Consider the following 17781-nt stretch of genomic DNA (forward strand, 5'->3'; position numbering starts at 1 on the left):
AATTTTCTCCAACTTTTATTTTAGGTTCAGGGGTACATGTACATGTCTCTTACATGGGTAAACAGCCTGTTGCAGACATTCTGTACACAGATTATTTCGTCACCAAGGTAACAAGGCTCGCACCCAATAGTTTTTTTATCTTCATCTTCCACCCATCATCCACCTTCAGTTAGGCCCCAGTGTCTATTGTTTCTATCTTTGTGTTCATGTGTACTCAACGTTTAGCTCCCACTTGTAAGCGAGAACATGCAGTACTTGGTTTTCTGTTCCTGCATTAATTCACTTAGGATAAGGGCCTCCAGCTCCATACTTGTTGCTGCAAAGGATAGGATTTTGTTTTTTTTATGGATGCACTGTATTCCATGGTATGTATGTACCACATTTTCTTTATCTAGTCCACTGTTGATGGGCATCTATGTTAATTTCATGTCTTCGCTATTGTGAATAGTGCTGCAATGAACATTCATATGCATGTGCATTTATGGTAGAATGATTTTTATTTCTTTGGGTATATACTCAGTAATGAGATTACTGGGTTAAATAGTGTTTTGAAGTTCTTTCAGAAATCTCCAAACTGCTTTCCACTGTGGTTAACTAATTTACATTTTTACCAGCAATTAATGTGTTTCCTTTTCTCTACAACCTCGCTGTCTGTTTTTTTTTGTTTTGTTTTGTTTTGACTTTTTTTAGACAGGCTCTCACTCTGCCACCCAGACTAGAGTACAGTGGCGTGATCTCCGCTCACTGCAACCTTCACCGCCTGGGCTCAAGCAATCCCCTGCTCCAGCCTCCTGAATAGCTGGAACTACACGTGTACACCACCACACCCAGCTAATTTTAAATATTTATTTTTATTTATTTTTTTCTTTTGTAGAGATGGGGTTTCACCATGTTGCCCAGGCTGCTCTTAAACTTTAGGGCTCAAGCAATCCACCTGCCTAGGCCTCCCAAAGTACTAAGATTACAGGCATGAGCCACCATATCAGGCCTGCTTTTTACTTTTTAATAGCCATTCTCACTGGTATGAGGTTGATTAATAATAACTTTCCTTAAGGTAAATATTTGGTGACCAAGATCAAGGAGGGGGAGTTGATATAACTTTATGTGACAGTATATACAAATTCAAATATTCATGGACCATGACCATGGATGCATATCTAGAAATAGATGCATCCCCACCTGTCTTTACCTCCATCCCTTCTAATTCACTAGATGAACTGTCTGTCTTCCCATCTACCTCCTACCTCTTCCATAAGGTCACTCCTTCAATTCATCCTCTCTGGTATTGTCAGCCTTCCTTCTGTCTATTGCCTCTTTCCATCAGCATACAGACACCACAAAACATAATGAGCCCCATCTCTTTGACCATCTCCTTCTCTATCCACTGCTCCTCTATTTACAGTAGACTTTGGGAAACAGCAATCTGTGCTTTCCCCACCTCCTGCTGTTCCACTTAAAATCCCTGTGTTAATTGAATTTTGACCCCACCACTCTTCAGTAATCGTCTTTGCCAAAATCAATAGATATTTCTCTGCTATTAACATACTTGACTTCTCCGCAGCAACGGAAACTACTGACTTTCCTCCAAACTCCCTCTCATCCTCGGTTTACCAGATGAGCCCAGCTTCTATTGACTAGGATCTCTGTGGCCTTCCAGCTTTCCTTACACGCTCTTTCCCTCTACCCTCAAATTTTCCAGTAACCAAGTATCTGCTTTGCCCTCCTCTCTTTATATATAACTACTTATAAGTTTGGGAGGCATAAGCATACACTTGTAATGAAAACCATCAAAGTGAATTATGAACTGATGAAAACTGAACCCACTGCCACAGTTCGAACCAACTCCCCCCTCCTAGAATCACTGTCTCTCTTGATGGAACCAGTATCCACTCAGTTAACCCAACCAGGAGACTTCTGTCCCCTCGATTTTGCTTCCCTTCAACCCACATTCCCAATGGATGGTCACCTCCTGTCCTTGTAGCTTTCTCAGTTCTCCTATCCTTCTAAGGGAGGCTGAGCACACAGCGCTGTTGACATCGCTGAGTATCCCTACAGGCAGCAATCCTCCCCTCTCTGGATTTCAGAGGCCCCACCCTCCTGTCTCCTTGGACACTGGTCCCATTGTCCCCCTCAGACTCCTTTCTCATGGCCTGTTGTGTGCCTCAGGGGCCTACCCTGCACCCTCATCCAATCCCATAGCTGTAAGTCTCATCTATATGTGTTGAGAACCAAATCACAATCTTCAGCTGCGGCCAGGTGCAGTGGCTCATGCCTGTAATCCCAGCACTTTGGGAGGCCAAGAGGTATGGATCACTTGACCCCAGGAGTTAGAGACCAGTCTGGGCAACATGGTGAGATCCCATTTCTACAAAAAGTTAAAAAAATTTGTGGGTGTGGTGACACACATCTGTAGTCCCAGCTACTTGTGAGGCTGAGGCGGAGGGATTGCTTAAGCCCAGGGGATCAAGGCTACAATCGGTGAACCGTGATTTTGCCACTGCACTCCAGCATGGGTGAATGAATGATACCTTGTCTTAAAAAAAAAAAAAATCTTCAGCTGTACATTTCTGTACATTTCTCTTGAGCATCAAATCCTTCTATCCAATACCTACCCACATCTCCCCTTAGTTATCATAAAGTATAGGAGGATGACTATAGGTGTTCACTGTCTGACATGCCTCCATTCCCCTCTCCCCTTCCTTGCAAGGAAACCATGCTAGGTTCACAGAAAGCAAATCCCAGCCTCCTCCCACAGGGACCCTGAAAGTCCAAAGCTGATCCTGCAACGCCTAAGGTGTGCCCACTGCATGAAAAGCTGCCTTATTCAATCATCACTGAAAACACACGAACTGACTGCTTTCAGAGTGCTTGAGGACCTCCACATTATGACATCGATGTGAGTCAGTAAGTCAGTAATAGTCACTGAACATAACATTTTCCAGCTGTTTCTCCAAATTCAAAATAAACAACAGAAACTGGAAATGCTCAATCACTTTCTTACAAGGTCATGTCCAGTTAGCATGGTAACAAGCTTTGAATTTCAAATAGGAAGGGAAGGAGTTCCAACAGACTCAATGTTTAACCTTTAATATCTGCCCAAATCCTACCATTAAGTCTGAATGTGTGTGACGCACTGGAAAGAGAAAAGCTTTCGAATCAGGTGAACTTAAATCCAGATCACAGCAGCCCCAACTCCTTAATGGTTGAGTGACCAGGATAAATTATGTTTTCCTTGGTTTCCCCATGTTTAAAATGAGGATGTTGTAGGGTGTTTAAATATTTAAATTAGGTAATTATTTTTGAGAGGGGGTTTTGCTCTATAACTCAGGCTGGAGTGCAGTGTTGTGATGTCAGCTCACTTGAACCTCTGCCTCCAGAGCTCAAGCTATCCTCCCACCTCAGGCTCCCAAGTAGCTGGGACTACAGGCATGCACCACACGCCCAGCTAATTTTTTGTATTTTTGGTAGAGACAGGGTTTTGCTATGTTGCCCCGGCTAGTCTTGAACTCCTGAGCTCAAGCAATCCTCCCGGCCTTGGTCTCTCAAAGTGCTAGGATTACAGGCATGAGCCACTGTGCCCAGCCTAAGTCAGGTAATTTTTTAAAGTAAAATTTTTCATAAGTATCGAATAAAGCAAAATATTAGTAATCAAGATTTCAAAGAAAGTATTCCCCTAGTTCTACTAAAAAAAAAAATTCTAAAATCACCTGATGGTAGACCAGAATTAAAAAGGAAGAAAGACTGACATACATTCCTTTATTTAAAAAATGGGTATCAAAATACATTGAGTAATAAGCCAATAAATGTTAGGGAAGTCATTTTTGTAGAACACCATGGCCTAATCGCTCTTTGGAAAATAGTGATTAGCAGAAGTCATTTTCCTGGAATGGTGCAAAGATTTTCCTCTGTAGAAGACATCTCTGACTCCGTGATGATAGGATGAAAGTTCTGCCAAGCTACTCTACACTTCAGGCACTGAGACACCAACAAATCCAAGCCCTTTATGACACGGTATGCCATCACTCAAGAGAAGGCTCTTACCCACTCTGACAGTCTTTCTCAACTATACAGTCACGATGCACCTTCCTATTTGCTAGTTGGGTGTTATTTTTCTTTTGAGGTAGGGTCTCACTCTGTTGTGCAGGCTGGAGTGCAGTGGCACTATCATGGCTCACTGCAGCCTTGACCTCCTTGGCTCAATCAATCCTCCCATCTCAGCCTCCCAAGTAGCTGGAACTAAGGCATGTGCCACCATTCCCCACTAATTTTTACATATACATCTATATGCACATATATATACACACACACACACACACACATATATATATATATATATTTGCAGAGACAGAGTTTTGCCATGTTGCCTATGCTATAGTCTCAAACTCCTGTCCTCAAGTGACCTGCCCTCAGCCTCTCAAAGTTCTGGGATTACAGGCATGAGCCACCAACCCAGCTGCTAGTCTTTTTTAATTCTTTGTGAAAAATTTGTGAAAAGTGAAAAATTTTTTTCACTTATTGTACAAAAATATTCCAACTATCTCTTCGAGGCTATGGAACATAGAAATATGAATAAAACATGCAGCTCTCAGTCTGGTAATAGGAGACTTAAAAATAATAACAAAAGGTAGAAATTTGTGATCAATGTGCCACTACTATGCTAATTGAAAGGAGGGGACCATTTGGGGTTAGAATTGGGGGATTCACGGGTGTCTTCTCAGAGGATAGAGTATTTCAGTTAAACTTTGGAGGTTGAGCAGGATTTGATAGGGCAGAATGGAAGGGGGTACATCACAAGCCTAGGTGAGGGCAACTTGTGCTTCACACAACTCTGGGAACTCCATTCACTTCAGTCATCATGGACTCTCATGTTATGAAAAGTTTCTGACCAATAGCAACAAAGTGTCTGAAGATAGGATTGCCTTTTGCTAATCTGCACAATGTTACATCAACAAGCAGCATGGCTGTCTCTCAGAAACTGCAAGAAAATTTGATTCTCTCAAATCCTGTGAGCAAACAGAGGGAAAAAGATCTATCCTAAAAGTCTGGAATCAAAACCTAGCCCTCATATAGGACCTCTAGTCCAATTCACCATTTTTATATGGCCTGAAAAACCTCAAGCCAAAAAAAATAATTTTAAGGTGATTCCAGGATGCTAGTGCCAGAAGAAACTTAGCAGTAGCAAACAAACTTTCTATAGAGGAACCCACCTTCGATCTTGACCTCAAAGAGGCCCCACAGGTAAATATTCAGGAAACTGAATTTACACTTAAAACACACACGTGTACGCGCATGCACACACACACAGTGACCAAGAACCAGGAGAAACTACGCCCCCCCCCCACACACACACACGAGATCAGCAAAGACTTCAAACATTAGAATTATCAAACATGAAATATCAAACAATCATGTCTAAAAGAAATAAAAAGTAGCAATTTATAAAGTGAGTATGAAATAAGAAACTATTAAAAATAAGCAGCTTTTAAAAATAGCTAAATAGAACTTTTAGAAATCAAACCATGTAGGCCAGATGCAGTGGCTCACGCCTGTTATCCCAGCACTTTGGGAGGCCAAGGCGCGTGGATCACAAGGTCAGGAGTTCCAGACCAGCCTGGCCAACATGGTGAAACCCTGTTTCTATTAAAAATACAAAAATTAGCTCAGCTTGGTGGCACATGCCTGTAGTCCCAGCTATTCAGGAGGCTGAGGCAGGAGAATCACCTCCCAGGAGGCAGAGGTTGCAGTGAGCCGAAATCATGCCACTGCACTCCAGCCCAGGCAACAGAGTAAGACTCCATCTCATTAAAAAAAAAAAAAAAAAGGAAAACAAATAAAACCATGTAAAATAAGTAAAACTTAAAACAAAGAATTTTTTTATTACTAAACTAGACACAGCTGAAGAGACAATTTGTGCACTTGGAGATAGAGCTGTAGAAATCCAGAATAAACCAGAGAAAGACACAGATAAACTGAAAGATGATAAACTGAAAGATAAACTGAAAGATAAACTGAAAGATAAACTGAAAGATAAACTGAAAGATAAACTGAAAGACGTGAGGATGTCAAACATGTCTAACAGATCCAATCGAATTTCTATGAGAAAAGGAAAGAATGGATCAGAGGCAAGATGTGAAGAAATAATGGTTGGATATTTTCTAGAATTGACAAAAAACATCAATCTAAAGTTGCAGAAGATCCAATAACAAACTCACCATACCTAATATATCATAGACACCACAGAACACCAAAGACAAATACACAAATAGAATGAAAAGATGGATTATCTTTAAAGGAACAACAGCCCCATTTCTCAAGAGCCACAATGGAAGTCAAAATCCAGTATAAAATACCTTCCATGTGAAGAGAAAAAGTAAATCTCAATCTAGCATTGGTACTATGTCAGAAAACATCTTAAGAATAAGGGCAAAACAAATCTGAGGAAAGAATGTTCTAGACAGTGTTGTAAGACCCTGGGGCAAAACAAGAAGTGCTAGGAGATGAGGACAGACGTAGCATGCGGGAGGAAATTATATGGGTTTTTATAGGCAATCTTAAGGACCTCCACTTTTCCACTGGGAAAATAAGTGGAGGGTCCAACAGAGCACCTTGGGCACCCCCGATGGGGTTTCCAGGCCATTGTTAGATGGCCTGGGGGCAGAGAAGACTCAGGCATCAGCTTGGTGGTCTAACTAGCTGATATTTTAAGGTCTCTTTCAACCTTGAAATCATTATTCAGGCAGAATAGTGATAGAATAATTAATTACTCTAGACTGAATATGTGTGCCCTCTCACCCTCCTTCCAAAAAAAAAAAAAAAAAAAAAAGTCCTGTTAAAGCCCTAACCCCCCAATGTGATAGATTTGGAGATGGGGCCTTTGGAAAGTGATTAGGGCTAGATGAGGTCATGAGGGTGTGCCCTTATAACAGAATTAGTGCCCTTATAAAGCAAAGGCCATGTGCACACACAGCCAGGAGGTAGCTGTCTGGAAGCCCCCAAGAGGAACCAAATAAGCTAGCACCTTGATCTTGGACTTCCCAACCCCCAAATTGAGAAAATACATCTGTTATGGTATTTTGTAAGCCCAAGGTGATTAATATAATTTATTATTTCACCAACCATACTTTAACTATGTTTCAAGATAATAGTTACTAAGAAAAGTCAAAGAGAGGAATCTCAAAAACCAAACAAGAGGCCGGGCATGGTGGTTCATGCCTGTAATCCCAGCACTCTGGCAGGCCAAGGCAGGTGGATCACCTGAGGTCAGGAGTTTGAGACCAGCCTGGCCAACATGGAGAAACCCCATCTCTAATGAAATCACAAAAGTTAGCTGTGCATGGTGGTGCACACCTGTAGTCCCAGCTACTTGGGAGGCTGAGGCACGAGAATCACTTGAACCTGGGGGGCAGAGGTTACAGTGAGCTGAGATCGCGACACTGCACTCCAGCCTGGGTGACAAAGCAAGGCCCTGTCTCAAAACAACAACAACAACAAAAAACACCACCACCACCACAAGCAACAGCTATGCTTCTCCATATTTTCATTAGCTATGACATTCAGCAAGCTTCAACTACTTTAAGGGAATTGAGGCTGAAAAGTGATACATAGTGTTTATCTTCCAACACTTATCTGGTAAATCTTTCTAAGTTAAATAGGTCTTTGGGGCATGATATTCAAAAGCCAGTACCTGGTAGCTAGTTACACCTGTTGGAGCTGTGAATAACCAGCTTCATAAATGTTTTTTTTCCCAGTCATCTAAGTAATGAAATCTCTTGTTAAATTCTCACTGAAAAGGCAGGGCTCCCCCCAACCCACCCACCACCTTACATGTCTTTACCATGTACATTTTCTATAGGATGATATTGACATTTTAAAGTTTGATGTACCATTAGAGGGATACATGTATTTTGGCCAAGTTTAATCAGGGTATCTCACATAAGCTCAGTATACGTAGCATTTCTTTGTCCACCACATTAGATCCATATTAGAAAGCAAGACTAACTCAGCTCCATTTTGCCTGTGTCTTGCATTATTTCCCATTGGTCACTCTTGATTTCAAGCAACACTTTCTTCATCCCAACTATGTCAGATTCTTACTTGGGCTCCTTCCCTTATCCTAGGTGCTGTCCACACTCTCTTTGCATCAACCCAAGACATGAATTCTCATTGCCAATTCAAACTCTTCTCCAAAGGCTTTTGTGACAAACTGTGTGTGTTTCCGACAGAACTGACTATTTCCCAGGCATAGAAAATTAGTCATATGAATCCCCCAGAGTTTCTGTCTCTGTACTGGAAGTGACTCTAAAAATATTTGAATTGAATCTGCCTGGATCACATAAGTTACCACGAAAGTGCTTTTCAACAAAATCAGGTATCAGCTTAAATTCTCATCTTCTCTTTTACATATGAGTATAGAATACACATCCCATGAATCTCTGCCTACATTATTGGCTAAAGGCTGGCAGGTCATCCAGCTTTTCCTGTTGTTGCTTAAGAGCACCTGCCTGGCATGCAGCTCAGAGCACTGTCTGCCCAGACTGTGACCAAAGCACATAACCCTCCAGCAGTGCATCTCCCAGGGGAGATCGCTGCTTCCTGCTAATCCCAGATTGCCTACTTATCCTCTTGCCTGAAGAGATGGCAGCAAATCATGGCAAAAATACTGCCTCACATTTACCGAATACTTATTATATGCTAGACTCTAGCCGCTTTCTTTGTAGTAGTTCATTTACTACTCTAAGAAGTACAAGGTAGTACTATTATTGTCCCAGTCTTATAGATGGGGAAACTGACGCACGGGGAAGTTAAGTCAACTGCCCAGTCTTACAACTAGGATGTGGCGAAGCCATGACTTAATGGTCAATCTGTGGGGCTTCAGAGTTCACATTCTTGTCCACAATTCCATACCCACATCGATACAGGGCATTCTATATTATTCCATATATCCTGCCATGGGATCAGAGAAAATTCAATAAATGTCTGCCTCACCAAAAAAGATGAGAGGATGGAGCAGATGAAAGAGTGCAGTCTGGGGACCAGACAAACTTGAGTTACAGTCCAAGATCTTAACTGCACAACCTCAAGCAAATTACTTAATCCCCCTAAGCCTTAATTTCTTCATCTGTAAATTGGGGATAATTATACCTTCTGTCACTGCTGATGAGTGGCAGAAATAAGACTCAACCCTGTAACCTCTCTGTAACACTATGGTGCCACAGCCTCTAGAAGATTATCATCTTCAAAAATTGGGAGGAATACCAATGCTTTGCCGTAGCCAGGTGATTTGGGGGTAACTGTAGCCCCAACCAGAAACTTCTGGTCCTGGTACATCTAAAGAGTCTGGGGTTCTGAGTTAATTTGTGTGCCACCATGCAGGACCCACTAGGTAGCAAGGAAACACTCCCCTCTTACTCACAAAAGCTCCAGTTGTTACAGGCACATTCTCAGAGCCTACCTCCCCATGATCCCTGATATTAAAGGCAATGACATGGTAGATGAAAATCACCAGTCCCTAGAACATCAGTGGCTCCTTTGTCCAAAAGGACACACTCTCTACACACAGGAAAACACAAGGTTCTTACATGGGTGTACATTCCCAAAACCTCCAGAATGACCTCATTCTATGGCACAAGGACCGTTCAGGTTTGTTTGTTTGTTTTGTTTTTGTTTTTTGAGGCAGAGTCTTGCTCTGTCGCCCAGGCTGGAGTGCAGTGGTGCCATCTCAGCTCATTGCAACCTCTGCCTCCTGGGTTCAAGCGAATCTCCTGCTTCACCCTCCCAAGTAGCTGGGTCTACAGGTGCATGCCACCACACCTGGCTAATTTTTTTTTTTTTTTTAGTAGAGACGGGATTTCACCATGTTGGCCAGGATGGTCTTGATCTCCTGACCTTGTGATCTGCCCACCTCAGCCTCCCAAAGTGTTGGGATTAGAGGCGTAAGCCACCACTCCCAGGAGGACCATTCAGTTCTGTCACCCAGGAGCCACAAGGCCTCTCCCAGAGCCTCATCTCTCCAGCCTTGCAATGGCCTGGAAACTGGGCAGGGACTCTGCCTAGAGCATGTGAAGATGAGTCACCTACTGCTGTCACCTGGCCCAGTTCCTGAATGGAATGCTGCAAAGTCCTAAGTTCTCCTGCATGGCACTGACGAAAGGGATTTATTAAATGAAGGTAAAAACTCTCAATGAAAAACTGTCTTCAATCTAAGGAATGCACCAAACCCACAGTGCTTGTATGAGGGTTGGTATTCTGGCCCATAGCTGCTCCAGGACCTTTCAAATGTTCTGTAATACAGTACTATTCCCGCTATGTGGAGTTTAAGTAATACAAGTGACTTGTGGCCCGGATTGCATGGGACATAGGATAGCCATCCCAGATCTTCATTCATGATCATCTATGCCATGCTCTTTATGACAATGGGACAAGCACATGGAATATTCTGTTCACATGGGAGGATATGGCCATTCCTTTCCATGAATCCAGAAGGTCAGGTAAGGTCTTCATTTCCAGTAGAAGCTGCTTACAGATGTGCCACTCATTTCAAATCACGGATATGCCTTGCCTTTCTATTTCTCCCACCAGTTCACCAGTGTCTGGGCCTCTATGTGAACAGTTTCTCCTCGTATATAACCTCAACTTATTTTGACCAAGACTTCTCCTTCATCCTAATAGTTCAAGATTTGGTGAAGCCTATTTCCATAGCAGTCATTCCCCTTCCTGGTGTTCACTATCCTGGGATAAGAGCTGAGGTATTTTTAACCATCCCTACCAGCAGCAACCCCTTTCCCACTATTACAGTTGCCCCCACCCCCCCCCACCCCCCCCCCCCCCCGCATCTTCAGCAGCTTCAGCTCTTTATTGAAATCCAGCAACTGAGGCTAGGTGCGGTGGGGCTCACACTGGTAATCCCAGCACCTTGGGAGGCCAAGGCAGGTGATCAACATGGTGAAACCCCATCTCCACTACAAATACAAAACTAGCCAGGCGTGGTAGTGTGCACCTGTAATCTCAGCTACTCAGGAGGCTGAGGCAGGAAATCACATGAACCCAGAGGCAGAGGTTGCAGTGAGCCGAGATCACACCACTGCACTCCAGTCTGGGCGACAGAGAAAGATTCTTGCCTCTAAAAAAGAAAGAAAAATATCTGAAATCCAGCAACCAAAACAATTACAACAAGGTTTTATGTTCTTAACACTCCTACTGATGTAAGAATCAAAGTTAAACTGTTAGGCTGATGTTTGGGTGAAAAAGGTTCACATCATCTAATAATTGGATGCAACCTAAATAGTTAACTATGCTTTACTAGGAAGCAGTGTACTCCTTTCTTAGGAAGACCTCCCATTCTATTATTTCCTCTTTGCTGATAGGAAACCTTTAAATCCTGAAGTGAAACATCTGTGCCTGCTAAGTGGATGCTAGGGTGTGTGTGGTAAACAAATCTGAAAGACATATTTGTCCTGTTTCCATCTTTGGGCAACAGTGGTCCACACTGGTAATGCTCACCTTTGGCTCTGTCTTCACCATCCACTCTGAGCAGTGGAGAGACAGCACACCCATCAGCTGGGGCACTAGCACAGCTGTCCTATTCTCCCCCCATTCAGGAGGTCATGCCACACATCCAGCTACTCTGAGCCTTCAACCACTCCCATGAAACAATGAGGCTATGTCAAAGGCAGAAACCCAAACATCTGTTTGCAGTGTCAGGCACATCTGTAATGATGCAAGGAAAAGGAAAGGGGGAAAAAAGTGCTAGTGCTACAAATGCCTGGAAGGGGTTGCAAAGAACAATGCAGGATGCTCTCTATCAATCTATTGCGTTCCTCATTAGTCATGATCACTGCCTCCACAATGCCCCAGATCCCTTTGTGGCATTCAAGAGTCATGCCACTCTGCCTCTACCATGCCCAGTTGGAGAAACATTTCCATGGAACAGCAGTCTATTAAAAAAGATAACTACACTTGTGAAGATGGATTTTTCCATCTTCCATGACCCTAGGGTCAGGCTTGTACTTAATTGTACCTGAGGTTTTTTTCTCCCCTTCCTACGATGGTTGAAGGATACAATACTACGAAAACCCTGTTTTCTTTGGGTGCTCTTAAGTCCTCTTCTCGCCAAAATCTAAAAATAAAACTTACTGAAAAATCACTCACTACAAGTAAATATATTCAGAGCAAATTTTAAGTTTAAAGCAGTCAATGACTAACATCCCAATTTTCCTTTCCCCCTAGCACGAGAGGTTCCTACAAGCAACTCTGTTCCAAAGAGCGTAGCATTCATGCTTCCACAGGGAAGAAACAGGCAATTCTAGAGCTGACAGCCTGGGTACAGTGGTACCTCCTTAAGCTTCAAATTCACATCCTGTACAAAGATTTGAGGAATGATTACCAATTGGGGAGGAAGACAGACACTAGGGAAAAGTACATACAACATACTTAAAGAGACAAATGTATTACCTGGAATAACTTGAGGAAAACGCAATACTACATTTCTATTGTGCAAACAGTTTCAATTCATCAAGAAGGAATCTCAGGCATGAGAACAGATAAGAGCCAGATAGATAATGCAGCCCTTCTCCTCCATCCCACAATTCTCTCCTCTTCATGTTTGATATGGTCCCAACATGACCTTCAGATGTGGGTTCAGATGCCAGACCCTGGCAGTTTTAAAACAGACAAATGTCACTCTTGTACAAAGAGTAGAAGTGACACCATCTTCACAGAGAAATCTTTTCCAATTACCAGCAGACAGGCCGACTCCCAGCTGGTGAAAGCGCGGGCCAGGGGTAGGCCAGGAAACCCTCCACACCCTGCCAGGTGCCCACACAATGGCTCGGCCCAGGCTCCTGGAAAGAGTTTATTTGCCATTACTTCTTGATATTGATATCCTCTCCTAAATGTTCCTTAGACTCACATTTTATGTTGAACGTGTTTTTCAAAGCTGTAAATCTAGGAATGGAATTGAGACATTACTAGTTTTACAGGATTGCAGGATGAATAAATGGCATTTTGCAAACTAAAACCACAATGAGATCACCTTACAGCAGTCAGAATGGCTACTATTAAAGAGTCAAAAAATAACAGACGTTGGCGAGGAGGTGCAGAAAAGGCAACACTTCTATACTGCTGGTGGGAATGTAAATTAGTACAGCCTTCAAGGAAGACAGTATGGAGACTTCTCAAAGAACTAAAAATACAACTACCATTTGAACCAGCAATCCCACTACTGGGTATCTACCCAAAGGAAAAATCATTACATTAAAAAGACACCTGCCCTCCTATGTTTATCCCAGCACCGTTCACAACAGCAAAGATATGGAATCTAAGTATTCACCAACGTATGCTTAAAGAAAATGCAGTGTGGATGTATGTACACACACACAAACACACAAACACACACACACACACACATACACACATACACACATATACACAATGGAATACTACTCAGCCACAAAAAAAGAATGAAATAATGTCTTTTGTAGCAACATAGTTGGAACTGGAGGTAATTATCTCAAGTGAAATAAATCAGACACAGGTCAAATACTGCATTTTCTCGCTTATAAGTGTGAGCTAAATAATGTATATACATGGATACAGAGTGTAAAACAATAGACATTGGAGATTACTAATGGGAGGATGGGGGGTGAGAGACAACAAATTACGTAATGGGTACAATGTATACTATTTGGGTGATGGCTACAGTAAAAGTACAGACTTACCACTATGTAGTACATTCATGTAACAAAAATGCACTTGTACTCTATTTATTTTTTGAGAGGGAGTTTCACTCTTGTTGCCCAGGCTGGAGTGCACTGAGATGACCTTGGCTCACTGCAACCTCTAACTCCCAAGTTCAAGCGATTCTTCTCCATCAACCTCCTGAGTAGGTGGGATTACAGGCATGTGCCACCACGCTTGGCTAATTTTTGTATTTTTAGTGCAGACGGTGTCGTACCCCTTAAATTTATACAAAATCAAAGAAAAAAATACCATTTTTACTCAGCTTCAAAATATACTGATAGGTAAATCCAGGGATTAAAAAGACAAACTTCTTTGTAGAAGTATTCACAGCCAAGTTACATTAAATGCCACGGCTCTTTTGGGCTTCCAACACAGTATTTTAAGTGGTTACAAATGTCTGTTTATGAACAGCTTGCTTCCTAAGATAACGTCCGGGGCCAAAACTCAGAAGGAGTAAGAGGCAACTGCCTCAAAGGTACTCAGGCTGCGGGTAAACATTTGACGGAATAAATGCTCTTTATTCACAGCCTGTGTTGAAATCTCCCTGAGGATGACTCACCATGCCTTTTCCCAACATCAGGCCCAGGAAGCCACGGACTTTCCCATGTCATCACTGACTTGCAAGCCTGGGGCAAAACCACAGTCCACCCAGCACAGAACTTGGTTCTGCGACCAGAACCAAAGATGAACTTGTACCCTAGGAAGATGTGGTCTTCTAAGCCTGACAAAGGACGTCAATTTTCCCCATTCCTCTCTCTTAATTCATAATAGAAGGGTTTGGTTAATTACACCTGGGATAATGAATAACTAAAAATGTGTTCTTCGCTACGTAAACAGAACACATTCTCTATTCATTTACAGTTAACATTTCAACTTCCTCTTAGTCTCACCTCCCAGGACAAGATCAATGGACCTACATTCATCTAACCACATTGTCGATTTTCCAGGCTTCTTATTTTCTCCATCTTTTTTCTAGTTGAAGATTCCTCATTGTTTTAGACTTTCTTCATCACAGCTCTCACATGGCAGTCCAGATTTGGGTTATTTTTAATCTTTTTGGAGTTATTTCAAGTTGTTTGTCTAGTTTAAATCCAGGCAGACTTCAAGATTTTTCCCTTTGTTCCTGTACAACACTGGTGAAAGGAGGGTGCTCCACGGAAGCTGGATTTGAATGCTAGAAAAGGAACAAGGTATTCTAACAGTGTTCTTGCCACAACTTTCACCGTCAGACCTTAAAATCTGAGTGCTGTAGGGAAATTAAAACCATCTATTGTCCTCATATTATAACTAGAGGAATAGAAGCCCAGACAAAATCAAACAACTTGCTCCAGCTCCCATGAAGAAAACCCTGTCTCTTCTACTTCTTCCTATTCTATTTAGCTACTTCACCCAATTCATCTATTAACATTTTCTCAGCCAGGTGTGGTTGCTCACACCTGTAATCCCAGCACTTTTGGAGGCTGAGGCGGGTGAATCACTTCAGGTCAGGAGTTCAGACCAGCCTGGCCATCATGATGAAACCCTGTCTCTACTAAAAAATATAAAGATTAGCCAGGTGTGGTGGTGAGTGCCTGTAATCCCAGCTACTCAGGAGGGAGAGGAGGTGGGCGGATAGCTTCAACCCAGGAGGCAGAGGTTACAGTGAGCCGATATTGTGCTACTGCACTCCAGCCTAATTGACAAACCAAGACTGTCCCGGGAGAGAAAGAGAGAAAAGACACAAAGAAAGACAAGAAAGAAACACAAGAAACAAGAAAGAAAGAAGAAAGAAAGAAAGAAAGAAAGAAAGAAAGAAAGAAAGAAAGAAAGAAAGAGAGAGAGAGAGAGAGAGAGAGAAAGAAAGAAAGAAAGAAAGAAAGAAAGAAAGAAAGAAAGAAAGAAAGAAAGAGAGAGAGGAAGTGAGGAAGGGAGGAAGGGAGGAAGGGAGAGACAGAGAGAGAGAGAAAAAGAAAGAAAGAAAGAAAGAAAGAAAGAAAGAAAGAAAGAAAGAAAGAAAGAAAGAAAGAAAGAAAGAAAGAAAGGAAGGAAGGAAGGAAGGAAGGAAGAAAGAAAGAAAGAAAGAAAGAAAGAAAGAAAGAAAGAAAGAAAGAAAGAAAGAAAGGGAAAGAAATCTCATCACAATATCAAAAGACATAATTTCAGCCAGGTGCACAGGCTCATGCCTGTAATCCCAGCAAGTTGTGAGGCAGAAGTGGGTGGATCGCTTGAGCTCTGGAGTTTGAGACCAGCCTGCCAAACATGGCGAAACCCCATCTCTACCAAAAAAAAAAAAAAAAAAATACAAAAATTAGCTGGGTGTTGTGGCACATGCCCCTCATTCCAGCTACTCAGGAGGCTGAGGTTAGGGGGACTGCTTGAGCCCAGGAGGTTGAGGCTGAAGTGAGCTGAGATCACACCACTGCACTCCAGCCTGAGCAATAGAGCAAGACCCTGTCTCAAAAAACAAAAATCAAGACATTATTTCTATTCTACCTTAGTGCTTAAAGAGTGAAGTGATTTAATTATGACTTCTCACAACGGTAAGAGAACAATGAACTGCAATGAGAGAGTCAGTCGTGTTCCACCCCCTTTGAACCAAGGCTGATGAATTATGAACAAGTCAAGGCCCTTAATGCAACATGACCACAAAACGGCAGTAAGGAGAAGGTACTTGAAACCCTAAGACTAACGTCTCTTCCTCAGATCAGGAGAGCTTTCAAAGAGCTGCAAAGGTCATTTGCTGCTTCGTGATCAAAAATGTAAAAATCATAGGCCATAAATCACTAACTTAAGCCACAGAAAATGTAATGTAAGATTATACCATCCACATATTTTCATTATAAGGGTATTACATACTGGTAAGAATTCAAAAATCTGATAAAGCATATAAAAAAGTATTAAACTCAATGAACGATCATGGAATTTCCTCCAACTAAATATTTTAAGAAGAAATAGAATTAAAGCGCAGATCACAACTGTGAAAATGAGCATAGTGAAGTTGAACTGAAGGAAACCTAACCATTCAAATATTAGAAGAAGCTAGAAAGTAAGAATATAAAAACTTGACCAGCATATATTACATCCTTTAACTTTTCCAGAGAGAGAAATACAACTGGCTCCCAAATATGAAACATGGTCATCTACACAATGAAAAATAGTTTTCATAGATTTTTCCTATATTTTGTTCAAAAATGCAAAAAAGGAATGGTAAAATCACACAGCATCTCATCACTGCTTTCCTCTGTTCCTTTAATTGCACCCTCATCTCTGCAGTCACCTCAGGGACAAAGTTTGGGGACAGACACCCCTCAGCTTCCTTAGCCACTCATAGCTCAATCTCTGTCTTGCACATACATGCACGGTTACACACACACACACACACAACTTTATCAAAAAAGGCAATCATTCCACATGAGCCTTTGTTTTTGTAATTTTAGAATTTAAAAACTAAAAAATTATTAAGAAGTTGAATCCTTAAGTAACATAAGAAAAAAGTATTCTTAAATAACTGATCAATTACTTCATGAGTAAACTCAAACCCAAAGATTCCTAGCTGTATACATCTAAAATGCCAATCTATTTTATTTTCATTTTTGAGACCAAGTCTTGCTCTGTCACACAGGTTGGAATGTAGTGGCATGATCTTGGCTCACTACAACCTCCACCTCCTCAGTTCAAGCAATTCTCCTGCCTCAGCCTCCCAAGTAGCTGGCATTAAAGGCGAGCGCCACCATGCCTGGCTGATTTTTGGATTATTAGGAGATGGGGTCTCACCATGTTGCCCAGGCTGGTCTTGAACTCCTGACCTCAGGTGATCCACCAGACTAGGCCTCACAAAGTGCTGGGATTACAGGAGTGAGCCACTGTGCCCGGCCTGCCAATTTATTTAAAATGGGAAAATGGGATCAATCACGTTGGATAAGGAACACCCTTCTTGAAATACTAGGAAACCTTTTGAAATACTGTAATAATCTATGAATTTCCAGTGATCAAAGTATTCATTTCTCACCAAAATGCTTCTGCAGAAAAACAACTTATTACAGATGAATATTTACAGGCTCTCAA

At 41.9% G+C, this 17781-nt stretch overlaps 1 protein-coding gene across 41 annotated transcripts in view, besides 1 other annotated feature; it reads right to left on the reverse strand.

Moving 5' to 3' along the window:
• Positions 1-17781, reverse strand: part of CSGALNACT1 (chondroitin sulfate N-acetylgalactosaminyltransferase 1) — a 353748-nt gene that overhangs the window by 247101 nt on the left and 88866 nt on the right. The gene's annotated exons all lie outside the window — the stretch shown is intronic.
• Positions 13296-14495: an enhancer, noted in NCBI's record as "BRD4-independent group 4 enhancer chr8:19522068-19523267 (GRCh37/hg19 assembly coordinates)". NCBI's record gives its function as "activates an origin of replication core promoter dependent on BRD2, P300/CBP, MED14 and CDK7 cofactors, and independent of BRD4, by STARR-seq in HCT116 cells {active_cell/tissue: HCT116}" and the evidence as "EXISTENCE:reporter gene assay evidence [ECO:0000049][PMID:35650434]".

This window comes from Homo sapiens, chromosome 8 (genome assembly GCF_000001405.40).
Source record: "Homo sapiens chromosome 8, GRCh38.p14 Primary Assembly".
NCBI classification, from domain to species: Eukaryota; Metazoa; Chordata; class Mammalia; order Primates; family Hominidae; genus Homo; species Homo sapiens.